Consider the following 13,366-nt stretch of genomic DNA (forward strand, 5'->3'; position numbering starts at 1 on the left):
TAAACAGAAGGCATTGTGACATATCTCTGCTTTTCTCACCTGGATGATGTGACCTTCCTACCTGGGACCCCCTTAGGGAGTATTGTGACAATTTGCTTGACCCAAAACCTGTGTGATGTCACTCTCCTCTACCGCTTGGCTTCTTTCCACAGAAGGAATTGTGATCTATCACTGGGCCCAGCACGCAGGTAATACAACTCTCCTGCATAGGCCCTGCCCACAGGGATGATTGTGAAAGATTGCTGATCCCAGCCCCCTACGTGATGTGACTCTTCTCTTCTGCCTGGGTCTTATTTTCTAAGCACATTGTGACATAATGCTGAGCTGACAATCAGGTTAATGTGACTTTTCCTTTTTTTGTGGTTTGTTGAGATTTAGGGCCTAATTTTTATTTATTTTTTCAAAAAGAATTTACAAGATACAAAGGTCTCACAATACATTATCACTGATGATTGCCAACTTTTTTGTTTGTTTGTTTGAGACAGGGTCTCCCTCTGTCACCCAGGCTGGAGTGCCGTGGTGGGATCGTAGCTCACTGCAATCTCCACCTCCCGGGCTCAAGCATTTCTCATGCCTCAGCCTCCTGAGTAGCTGGGATTACAGGCACCCACCGCCACAGCCTGGCTAATTTTTGTATTTAATAGAGATGGGGTTTCACCATGTTGGCCAGGCTGGTCTCAAACTCCTGACCTCAGGTGATCTGCCTGCCTTGGCCTCCCAAAGTGCTGGGATTACAGACGTGAGCCACCGTGCTTGGCTGACCAAAGGGATTTAACTCTTCCCCCTCTTGCCTGGGATGTATCGCTGGGTTCAACATTTAGGTAATGCAACTTTCCTGCAAGGACCCTGCTTACAGAGGCATTGTGACATATTGATAAGTCTATCACCAAGGGGATGTAACTCTCTTCTTTGAGACCTGCCTACAGGGGGCATTGTGACATATCTCTATGCCTATTACTCAGGTGATGTGATTCTCTTTTACTGCTTGTTTTTGGTCACAGAAGCTATTTGGAAATATCATTGGCCCAGCACCCAGCTGATGTGACACTTCCATTTTTCCTATATTCTGCCCACAGAAGAGATGTGACATATGGCTGGACCCAGTACCTACATGATGTAACTCCTCTTCTGCCTGGGCCTTGCCCTCAGGAGATATTACAATATATTACTGGACCCAGCAACTAAGTGATTTGACTGTCCTGTTTTGCCCTGCTTTCTGGGAGGATTGTGACATAATTGCCTGGTCCAGTACCTAGGTGATGTGACTCTTCTCCTGCCTGGGCCTAGTCCACAAGGGACATTGTGACATATTGCTGGACCTAGCATCCAAGTAATTGTGACTTTCCTGCCTGGTTGTGACATATTGCTGAACCCAGCACCCAGCTGATGTGACTCTTCTGCCTGGGCTTTATTCTTAGGGGTTTGTGACATATCTCTGCATTCATCAACTGTTTGATGAGAACTCTCCTCTCTCACCTGGGCTTTGCTCAAAAGAAAGACAGTGAAATATCTCTGGACCCAGCACCTAGGTGATGTGTCTCTCCTCTATTGCTAGTGCTCTGCTCAGAGTGAAATTGTGATGTATTGCTGAGTCTAGCAGCTAGGTAATAAGATTCTTCTATATGGGCCCTGCCCAAAGGGGTGTTATGACATATCCTTTTATTTATCACCTAGGCAAAGTGACTCTCTTTATTTGCCTGGACCCTAACCAAAAAGAGAATTGTGACATAGCACTGGATCCAGCACCTTGGTGCTTTTTTTTTTTTTTTTTTTTTTGCCTGGAGCCTGCATATTTTGGGTATTGTGACATATTGCTGAGCTGAACACCCAAGGGATGAGAGACTTTTCCTGGGCCCTGTCTACAGTAGCCCTTGTGACATATGTCTGCATCCATCACCTTGGGGATGTGATTTCCCTCTTTTTCATGCATGCTGCCCAAATGGAAGATTGCAATATATCGCAGGGCCCAGCAACCAGGTGATGTGTCTCTTCTCATTTGGCCTTGCCCACAGGGAGCATTGGAATATATTGCTGGGCCCAGTATCCAGGGGTTTGACTCTTCTGCTGCCAGTTCCCTGCTCTCAGAAGGGGGTCGTAACATATCTTTGGCCAAGCACCTGGGTGATGGGACTCTCCAGCTGGGTTCATGCTTTCAGGGAAGATTGTGACATATCCCTGGCAGAGAGGCAGTCGATGTGTCTCTCCTTGCTCCATGCTCACAGATGGGATTGTGAAATACATCTTAGCCCCGCTCACATATGCAATGAGGACTCTCATACCTTGAGCCAGCCAATAAGAGTGATACCATTTATGTTAGGTAACCTTAAGGAAATGGGTAAAATTCTGGGTCTTCTCTTTATACTAAGGTCATAGAGGATTACCACTCTTCTGCATATTGTATACAACCTTCATTTGGTGCACAGAATGTTATCACAGAGCCCAGCAAAAATATGAGACTGTGGTTTTAGTATGCACACTCCACCAAGTGTTAGGATTGTCACCCTTTAAACATGGAAAGAAACCACTGGTGAGGTCCTTAATCTCACACGTGGGCACAGTCCATAGTTGGAATAGTGACTGTCATAAGTAATCATCTGGCTAAAGTTGGGATGGTGACTCATTTCTAGATCATAGGCAGGCAAGGACTCTCATATCTAGACCCAGCCAATTGGAGAGATGTTGACTCTCATACTTGGGCTTAGTGCCACAGGTTCAAAAATGGGTCCATACCAGCAAGAAGGTCTCGGTGGATTTCCAACTCTCATGCATACCATATAAAGCCCTCAGATAATACAGAGAGTGTCTTAACAGGGCCCCACACACAGGCAACATTGTGACACTTGTATGCACACCCAGCCAACAGTAAAGATTGTTATCCTCACACATGAATGCAGCCCCCTATTGAGGTTTGGAATCTGACACCCAGAAAGAGTCAGAAGTTGGAAAATTGACTCTTGTACATGGATTTCATCCATAGGTGGATTGGTGTCCCTGAGTCCAACACTCAGCATACCTGTGAGCCTGTGACTCCACTAAAACAGTCTGCACAAAAAAATTAAGGCACTAATTCACAGATCCAGTCCACTACTGAAACTGTGACTCCTGTACTTAGTCTCAATATGCAGGTGGTGTTTACTCTTATATTGAAAACTGGGATGTGTCTGGGAGTGTTAATCTCATCTGTGGACCTTTGTGCAGATGAGACTGTGACATATACCTCTGCCCATCACCTGATTTGACTCTTCTGCCTGGGACCAGACAACAGATGGGACTGTGACATCACTGGACCTAGCATTTAAGTAATGTGACTCCATTTGTCTGCCTTGGTACTGTGTGGCAAGGGGCATTGTGCCATGTTGCTGGGAATTGCACCCAGGTGATGTAAACCTATTCCCCTGCCTTGGGGCTGCCCCCAAAACACATTGTAACATATCACTAATCTCTGCACCCAGGTTCCGTGACTCTCCTGTCTGTGCCCTGCCTACATGGATTATTGTGACATATTGCTGGGTCCAACACCCAGGTGATGTAACTCTCCTGCTTGAGTCCTGCCTTGAGTCCAGGGGGGCATTGTGAAATATCTCTGCACTCATAATTCTGGTGATTTGACTCTCTTCTTGCCAGGTCTCTGCTCACAGGGGGGATTTTGATGTATCGCTAAGCCCAGCACCTAGCTAATGTAAGTTTTCTCTTCTTCTTAGGTTCTGCCTGTAGAAAAGATTGTAACATAATGCTGGGCCCAACTTCAAGGTGGCATTACTTTTTTGACTTGGCCTTGCTCTCAGAAGACATTATAACATACTGCTGGGCCCAGAACCAAGGTGATGTTAAGTCTTCTGACTAAAACCTACCCACAGAAGACATTGTGACATATCTCTGGGCCCATCAACTATTTGATGTGACTCTACTCTTATCTGAGTTTTTTTAATAAAAGAGATTTTGACATATCTTTGGGCCCAGCACCTAGGTGATTTGACTCTCTTCTGCTGTGTGAGCCATGACCAGAGATGGAGAGTGACTTATCGCCTGAACCAGCACACAAATGTAATTATTCTGATTTCTTTCCAAAGAAGTCATCGTGACATATTTTTGAGGCCATCGCCTAAATGATACAATTTTTTTTTCCTTGGGCCTTGCCCACTGAGGTGATTGTGAAATACAGCTGGGCTCAGCCCTTAGGTTATGTGACTCTCCTCTTTTTTTCTGAGCCCTATCCACAATGGGCATTGTGACATATCTCTGGGCCCATCACCTAGGTGATGTGACTCTTTTCTGGGCCTTCACTCAGGGTACATTATGATATATACCTGTATCTAGCACCTAGGTAATGTGACTCTCCTATTCTGCCTGGGCCGTGCATATATTGTGTACTGGGACATATTTCTGGGTCCAGCACCTAGGTGATTTTGCCCTCCAGCACAGCCCCTGCCATCAGGGTTATAATATATCTTTCTATTCATCACCTACATGATGTGACTCTTTTTGTTTGCCTTTGTCCTGCCAAAAAGGGGATTGTGACATTTCACCCAGCACCCAGGTGATGTGACTCTCCTCTTACGATTGGGACTTAGAATTTTTGGTAGTGTGACATACTGCTGAGCTTAACACCTTGGCAGTTGGAGGCTCTTGCCTGGGCCTGGCTCACAGTTGCCCTGTGACATAATTTTGCATCAATCATCTGGGAGATGTGACTCTTCTTTTCTACCTTCACTCTGCCCAAAGGGAAGATTGTCACATATCGCTGGGCTCAGCAACCAGGTATGTGTCTCTCCTGCTTGTGACTTGCCAACAGAGAGCATTGTGACATACTCCTGAGCCAATCACACTGGTGATGGGACTCTGCTTCATGTGACTTGCTTTCAGGAAGAAATTGTAACATATCTCTGGTTGAGCACCCAGGTAATGTGACCCCTCCTGCCTCACCCCTGCCCTCTGGAAAGATTGTGACATAACTCTGGCCTATCACTGAAGTGATGTGACTCTTCTGTTGGCTCTCTGTGGACAGTATCTGGGATTACAGGCACATGCCACCACCCCCAGCTAATTTTTTGTATTTTAGTAGAGACGGGGTTTCACCATGTTGGCCAAGATGGTCTTCATCTCCTGACCTTGTGATCCGCCCATCTCGGCCTCCCAAAGTGCTGGGATTACAGGCGCGAGCCACCACGCCCGGCCCGGGATGGTGACTCATTTCTAAACCCAGCTCATAGGCAGGTGAGGACTCTCCAATCTAGATCCATCCAGTTGGAGACATATTGATTCGCATATCTAGGCTTAGAACCATTGGTATGATTATTTGTCTATATCATCACAAAGGTTGCAAAGAAGACTGCGACTCTTATGCATACTGTATAAAACACTTGAATAGTGCTGAGTGCTGAGCTCAGCATACAGGTGACATTGTGACATTTAGATGTACACCCAACAGACAGCAAAGATTGTCATCATTCTACATTAACAGTCCACTGTTGCGTTTCTGAATCTCACACTCAAAGTCAGTCGAAAGTTGGATAACTGACTGTATACATGGATGACTGTCATACGTGGACTCCATCCACAGGTGGGTTGCTGACTTTCAGACCAAGATTTAGCACACCCATGATGTTGTGAATCCACGGAGGAGACAAAGTCTGCAGGAGAAGTTTAGGCTCCCAAACACATGTCTAGTCCACCAATGAGATTGTGACTTGTGTACTTACGTTGCGGGAAATTAAGGAACCGGAGAGACCAAATGGAGGGCAGGAAGTGTTTATTTAAGGTGTACACTGGCTCAGTGGACATGTGTCCTGAAAGTCTGAGCCCCGAACAAAGAAAACGAGTTCCTTTTAAGTATTTTGAGGCGGGCACTATGTGAAGCAGGAAGCAGGCTTACAGAAGCAAGAACAAAGGCTGCTGTGATATTTTTGCAACATGTCTTACATCTTTGGGAATACTTGGTTTGTAGCTTATGCTTATTTGTTTTGTGACCTTGCAGCTGTGCAGGGAAGAAAGGAACAGGAGCTTATAGAGCCTACAAAATATGTGGAGAGTGGATATGGTTAATGTTTCTTGGGACAGGCAGTTAATTTTTTTTTTAACTTTAACTTCGTGGGGCGCTACTTAAATTTTTTTCAGCCATGGTTAATACAGCAATTCATTCTATGAGCTATTATTATTTGTCTTACTATTACTATAATCTTTACTATTATTACTTATGCTATTATTTTGTTATTTTCTTAATTTCTTACTTCACTTATACCCAACCTACAGTGAGCAGTGACTCTCATAACAAGAGCCAGGAAAGGTGTGAGATTGGTAGTCTCATCCCTGGACCTCCTGCAGGTGTGATTTTGACATACACCTCTCCTCAGCACCTGAGTGATTTGACTCTCCTGCCTGAGTCCAGCTTACAAATGAGATTGTGACATATCACTGGACCCAGCACCTTGGTAATATGACTATCCTCCTGCTTTGGCACTGCCCACAGAAGGTATTGAGACATATTGCTGAGCCTAGCACTTCTATGATTTGACTCTGCTGCCTGTACCCTGCTTTCAGGAAGGGATTGTAGCATATCTGGCTGAGCATCTAGGTGATGTGACTCTCTTGCCTGGTGCCTGCCCTCAGGAAATATTGTGATATATATATATATTGCCCTCAGGAAATATTGTGATATATATAAAATATATGATCCAGATCAAGGTGCAATAGTAACTATTGTAACTTGAGTCAGCAAATAGGAGAGATACTGTCTCTTGTAGCTAGGCTTAGGGTACTAGGTAAGATTCTGGGTCTCCTCTTTGTATGAAGGTCATAAAGAATTACCACTCACTCACATACCTTATAAAGCCCTCAAATGTTACAGACAGTGTAATTACAGGGCCCGGCACACAGGTGAGATTGTGTTTTTTCTATGCATACCCTGCCAACTGTTAGGATTGTCACCCTCACACATTGAAAGAGCCCACTGGTGAGGTTCTAAACTACACACATGTATGAGGTCTACAGTTGAAATTGTGATTGTCAAATATCAACATCCTGCTACAGTTGAGACGGTGACTCATTTATAAACCCAGCTCATAGGTAGGTGAGAACTCTTATATCTGGACCCAGCCAATTGAAGGGATGTTAACTCTTGTACTTGCTCTTAGGTCCACAGGTACAATCATGGGTCCATACCAGCATGAAGGTCTCATACCAAATTTATTTTTTTGTTTTTTTATTATTATTTTCTTGAGACAGAGTCTCTGTTACCCAGGCTGGAGTGTAGTGGCGTAATCTCGGCTCACTGAAACCACCGCCTTCCGGGTTCAAGCAATTCTTCTGCCTCAGCCTCCTGAGTAGCTGGGACTACAGGCGTGCGCCACCACACCTGGCTAATTTTTGTATTTTTAGTAGAGATGGGGTTTAGTAGAGATGGGGTTTCACCATCTTGGCCAGGCTGGTCTTGAACTCTTGACCTCGTGATCTACCCACCTCGGCCTCCCAAAGTGCTGGGATTACAGGTGTGAGTCACCACGCCTGGCCAACAAATTGCCACATTCTAAAGCCCTTGGGTGGTACTGAGTGTGTTTTTAACAGGGCCCAGCACACAGGTCAGATTGTGTTACTTGTATACATACCCAGCCAATTGTAAAGATTGTCATCTTTTATGAACTGTGTTTATAGGTGCTCAGGTTCTGAATGTGCTCAGGTTCTGAATATCACATCTGAAGGTGGTGGAAAGTTGGAAAATTGACTCCCCTACATAAATTCCATTCACAGAATGATGGGTGACTCAGGACCAAGATTTAGCACATTTGTGAGGCTGTGACTCTGCTACAGGTACACAGTCCATGGGGAATTGAGGCTCTCAGGCACAAATCTATCCACAGTTAATATCGTCACTGTGTACTCAGAAAAAAAATACAGGGGATGTTGACTCTCTTACTTAGAACTAGGACATGTGCAAGATTGTTAATCTCATCCCTAGACGTTTTTGCAGGTGTGATTATGACATATGCCTCTTCTTAGCGCCTGAATGATTAGACTCTTGCTTGCGCCCAGCCCACAAGTGGAAATTGTGACATATTGCTGGACCCCAACCTAGGTGATGTGACTCTATTCTTTTTCCTTGGTACTTCCCACAGGAGCATCTTGACAGATCGCTGGGCCTTGCACCCAAGTGATGTGAGTCTCCTCTGCTGCCTTTGTGCTTTCCACAGGGAACATTGTGACACATCGCTGGGCAGCACACCCGGGTTATGTGACTCTCCTGCCTGTGCCCTGCCCAAGTGAGCCATTGTAACATTTTACTTGGTCCAACACCCAGTTGATGTAACTCTCCTGCCTGGGCCCTGCCTACAGGGTCATTGTGTCATATCTCTGTTGCCATTACTGTCGTGATGTGACTCTCTTCTCCTCTTGGGATTTTATGTGTTGGCATACTTCTGGGGTCTTGCATTACTTCTCCTAACCCACCCAACTCCTGAGATCTCACTGGGAAGCTACTGATGACCAGTTTTAGGTGTTTCGTATTTATTAGGAGACTGCCTGTCCCTGGCAACAGCTGTCACCAATTATTACTTTAGAGAGATAGTTCACTGCCTGGCCATTACCTGATTGCTGCCTGACATTTCTGGTGTGTGTGGAGTGGGGTGCCCTTTCTTGCCCTGCCTATGCTGGACTAGCTACCTACTGTCACACTGCATGCATTTGTTTTGTGACATATGGCTGGGTCCAATACCTAGGTGAGGTGACTCTCCTGCATGGGTCCTGCCCACAAGGGTATTATGATATATTTTTACATTCATGATTTAGGTGATGTGGCCTTCTCCTTCTGCCTGGTCTCTGCCAAAATGTAGGATGGTGATGTATCACTGGACCTAGCACCTAGGTGATGTGACTCTCCTCTTTCATGGGCCCCACATATGAGTACTGTGACATATCACTGGGCCAAACATGTAGAATTTGGGAGGTGCCTGCCTATGCCCTGCAAACAGGGCTCTAGCCCTACAACGCTCAAGAGCCTTGTGACATATCTCTGTATTCCTCACCAAGGAGATGTGACTCCTCTGCTGCTGCCTGCACCTGGCCCACAGGGAAGATTGTGACAATAACATTGACTCAGCAACAGGGTGATGTGCTTCCTTTTCCTGGGCCTTGCTCCCAGGGAGCATTGTGACATGTCACTGGGCTCAGCACCCAGGTGCTGTGACTCTGCTGCCCATGCCCTGCTTTCAGAACAGGATTGTAACATATCCCTGGCTGATCACCCAGGTGATGTTACTCTTCTGCCTGGTTCCTGCCATCAGGGAAGATTGTGACATATTCCTGTCCTAGCGACCAGGTGATGTCACTCTCCTGCTCACTCTCTATCGACAGGTGGGATTGTAAAATATATCCTTGTTCAGCTTGTGGGTGAGATGATAACTCTCATGCCTCAAACCAGCCAATAGGAGAGATACTGTTTTTTGAAGCTAGGCTTAGGAAAATGAGTAAGGTCCTGGATCTCCTCTGTATGAATATCATAGTTGATTACCAGCCTCTCACATATATAAATTTTTCAAGTGGTACAGACAGTCTCATCACAGGACCCAGGACCCAGGTGAGATTGTGTTTTTCATATGCACACTATCAGCCATTAGGATTTTGCCCTCACACATGGACAGAGCCTACTGGTAAGGTCTTGAATCTCACATGTGGATGGAGTTGAAATTGTGACTGTTATTTGTGAACATCTGGCTGCAGTTGGGATGGTGACTCATTTCTAATCTAGCTCCTAGGCAGGTGAGGACTCTTATTTTTCATTTTTATTTTATTTATTTTTATTTTTTTGGAGACAGTATCTCACTCTGTCACCCAGGCTGGGGTGCAGTAGTTTAATAATGGCTCACTGCAACCTCCACCTCCTGGCTTTAATCGATTCTCCTGCCTCAGCCTCCTGGGTAGCTGGGATTACAGATGTGCACCACCACACCGGGCTAATTTTTGTATTTTTAGTAGAGATGGGGTTTCACCATGTTGGCCAGGCTGGTCTCGAACTCCCGACCTAAAGTGATCCACCTGCCTCGGCCTCCCAAAGTGCTGGGATTACAGGCATGAGCCACCATGCCTGTCCTCTTTTACGTGGAACCAGCCAGTGATAGAGATGCTGACTCTCATACCTGGGCTTAGAGACACAGGTACAATCATGGGTCTATACCTTCATCATGAAGGTCATAGAGTGGTTTGCAACTCTCGTTAATACTGTAGAAATCTCTCGTGTGGTACTGAGAGAGCCTAGAACACAGACAAAATTGTGACACTCATACACCCACCCAGCCAACAGTAAAAATTGTTATCTTTCCACATGAACACAGCCCACTGTTGAGGTCCTGAGTCTCCCTCATGAAAACAGTCAAAAGTTGGAAAATTGACTTTATTTTTTTTTTTTTTTTTAGAGTCTCACTCACTGTAACACACAGGCTAGACTGCAGTGGTGCAATCTCAGCTCCTGCAACCTCCACTTTCTGGGTTCAAGCAATTCTCGTGCCTCAACCTCCTGCGTAGCTGGAATTACAGGCATGTGCCACCACACCCAGCTAATTTTTGTATATTTTCTACAGACAGGGTTTCACCATGTTTCCCAGACTGCTCTCAAACTCCTGGCCTCAAGTGATCCAGGCCTGCCTCGACCTCCCAAAGTGCTGGGATTACAGACATCAGGCACCACCCCCAGCCTGGAAACTTGACTCTTATATGTGGATGCATTTCACAATATTTAGCACATCTGTGAGTCTGTGACTCCAGTAAGGGTACACAGTCTGCAGGAAGACTTCAGGCTCTCATAAACAAATCGAGTGCACCATTGAGATTGTGAGTCTCTTAATTAGACCCAACATACAGGAGGTGTTGACTCAAATTTAGAACTGGGACATGTGTGAGATTGTTAATCTAACCTCTAAGCCATCCTGCAGGTGTGATTTTGGCATATGTCTCTGCTCAGTACTTGAGTGATTTGACTCTCCTGTCTGGGCCCAGTCTATAGGCACAATTGCGACATATCACTGAACCAGCACATGTGACTCCATACTCCTGCCTTGGTGCTGCCCACAGGGGAGATGGTGGAATATCACTGGGCCTTGCATCCAAGTGATGTAAGTCACCATTTCTTTATTGGCACTGCCTACGGGGGACACTGGCGTATCTCTGGGCTCAAAACCCAGCTTATGTGATTCTCCTATTTTTTCCCTGCCCACATGGGCCATTGTGACATACTGCTTAGTGTAACACCCATGTAATATAACTCTTCAGCCTCAGCCTTGCCTACATGGGCGTTGTGATGTATCTCTGCACTCATCACCCAGGTAATGTGACTCCTGTCTGGTTTCTGTTCAGATGGGATATTTTTGCCTATTGCTGGGTATAGCACCTAGCTGATGGGACTCTTCCCATCTTTCTAAGGCCCACCCGCATGGAAGATGGTGACATTTCACTTTGCCCTACACTAAGGTGACATTAATCTGTTGCCTTTGCCCTACTTTCAGAAGACATTGTGACATATTGCTGGGCCCAGCACCCAGGTGATGTGAGTCTCCTGCCTGAGCCCTGCTCACAGAGGGCATTGTGACATACTTCTGACTTCATCAACTATTTGATGTGACTCTCCTATCTTACCTGGGCTTTGCCCATAAGAAAAAATGTGACATATCTCTGGGACCAAAACCTAGGTGATGTGACTCTCTTCTGACAGGGTCATGCCCACAGAAGAAAGATGGCTTATTGCCAAACCCAGCACACAGGTGAGGTAATCCTGTCTGGTCCCTGCCCACAGGGGTTATTTTGACATATCTCTAAGCCCATCAGCTAGATTACGTGACTGTCTTCTTCCTGTAAACTGTACAGAGAGAATATTGTGACATATCACTTGGTCCAGAACCTATGTGATGTGACTGTCATGACTGGGCCCTGTCATTTGGGGTGATTGTGAAACAGGTGGCATGAGCAGGACCTAGGTTATGTAACACTTTTCTTCTCTCTTAGCCCTACACACAGATGACAATGTAGCATATCTCTGGGTCTTTCACATAAATAATTTTACTTTTTTGCCTGGGCCATGTCCGGTAACATATTGCTGGACCTAGAAACTAGGTGATGTGACTCTCCTCTACTGCTTAGGCTCTGGCAAAAAAAAAAAAAAAAAAAATTGTGGTGTATTGCTGGGCCAGTACCTAGGTAATGTGACATTTTTCTATTGCCTGGGCCCTGTGTATTCTGGGTATTCTGACATATCGCTGGGCCCAACATGTAGGGAATGGGAGTACCACCTGGGCCCTGCTCACATGGGGCCTTGTGACATATCTCTTTATCCATCACCTAGGAAATGTGTCTCTCCTCTTCTGCCTGCACCTTGCCAACAGAGAAAATTGTGACATATTACTGAGCCTAGCAACCAGGTGATGTGTCTCTCCTGCCTGGGCCTGGCTGACAGAAAGCAGTGTGATATATTCCCGGGCCCAGCAAACAGGTAATGTGACTCTCCTGCCTAGTCCCTGGCCTCCAGGAAGATTTTGACATATTCCTGGCTCCAAAAAACAGGTGACGTGACTCTACTTATCATTCCCTATCCACGGGTGTAATTGTCACATTTATCTTGGCCTAGCTCACAGATGGCATAAGTCTCATACCTTGAACCAGCCAATAGCAGAGATCCTGTGTCTCTTAGCAAGGCTTAGGCAAATAGGTGAGTTCATGGGCCTCCGCTTTATAAAGATTGTAAATGCCATTCTCTTGCATATTGTGTAAAGGTCTTGAATGGTACAGAAAGTGTCATTACAGAGCCTAGCACACAGGTAAGGTTGTGTTTCTCATATGCTCACCCTAAAAACCCTTAGTATTGTCAACCTCCCACATGGATGGAACTCACTAATGAGGTTCTTAATCTCACAAACACAGTCCATAGTTGAAATTGTGACTGTCATATGTGAACATTCAGCCAGAGTTGAAATGGTGAAACATTTCTAAACCCAGCTCCTAGGCAGGTAAGGCATCTTCTTTCTGGACTCAGCCAATTGGAGACATGTTGACTCTCATACCTGGGCTTAGGGCCACAAGTACAATCATGGGTCCATACCAGCATGAAGGTCTCAGACAAGATTGCACTCCCATGCATACAGTACAAAGCCCTCAAGTAGGACAGAGAATGTTCTAATAGACCTCAGGACACAGGTGAGATTGTGACACTCATAAGCACACCCAGCCAACAGTAATGATTGTCACCCTCCCACATGAACACAACACATTGTTGAGATTCTGAACCCCACAATAAAAAAAAAGTGCCAAAAGTTGAACAATTGTCTCATCGTTTATTTCAGTCCACAGGTGGGTTATTGACACTCAGACCAAGATTCAGTACACCTGAAAGACT

General features: G+C 45.6%; 1 long non-coding RNA gene across 1 annotated transcript in view; it reads left to right on the forward strand.

Moving 5' to 3' along the window:
• LOC100128885 (uncharacterized) overlaps positions 1-13,366 on the forward strand; it is a 43,895-nt gene that overhangs the window by 25,412 nt on the left and 5,117 nt on the right. The gene's annotated exons all lie outside the window — the stretch shown is intronic.

Source organism: Homo sapiens, chromosome 7, assembly GCF_000001405.40.
Source record: "Homo sapiens chromosome 7, GRCh38.p14 Primary Assembly".
Lineage (NCBI taxonomy): Eukaryota > Metazoa > Chordata > Mammalia > Primates > Hominidae > Homo > Homo sapiens.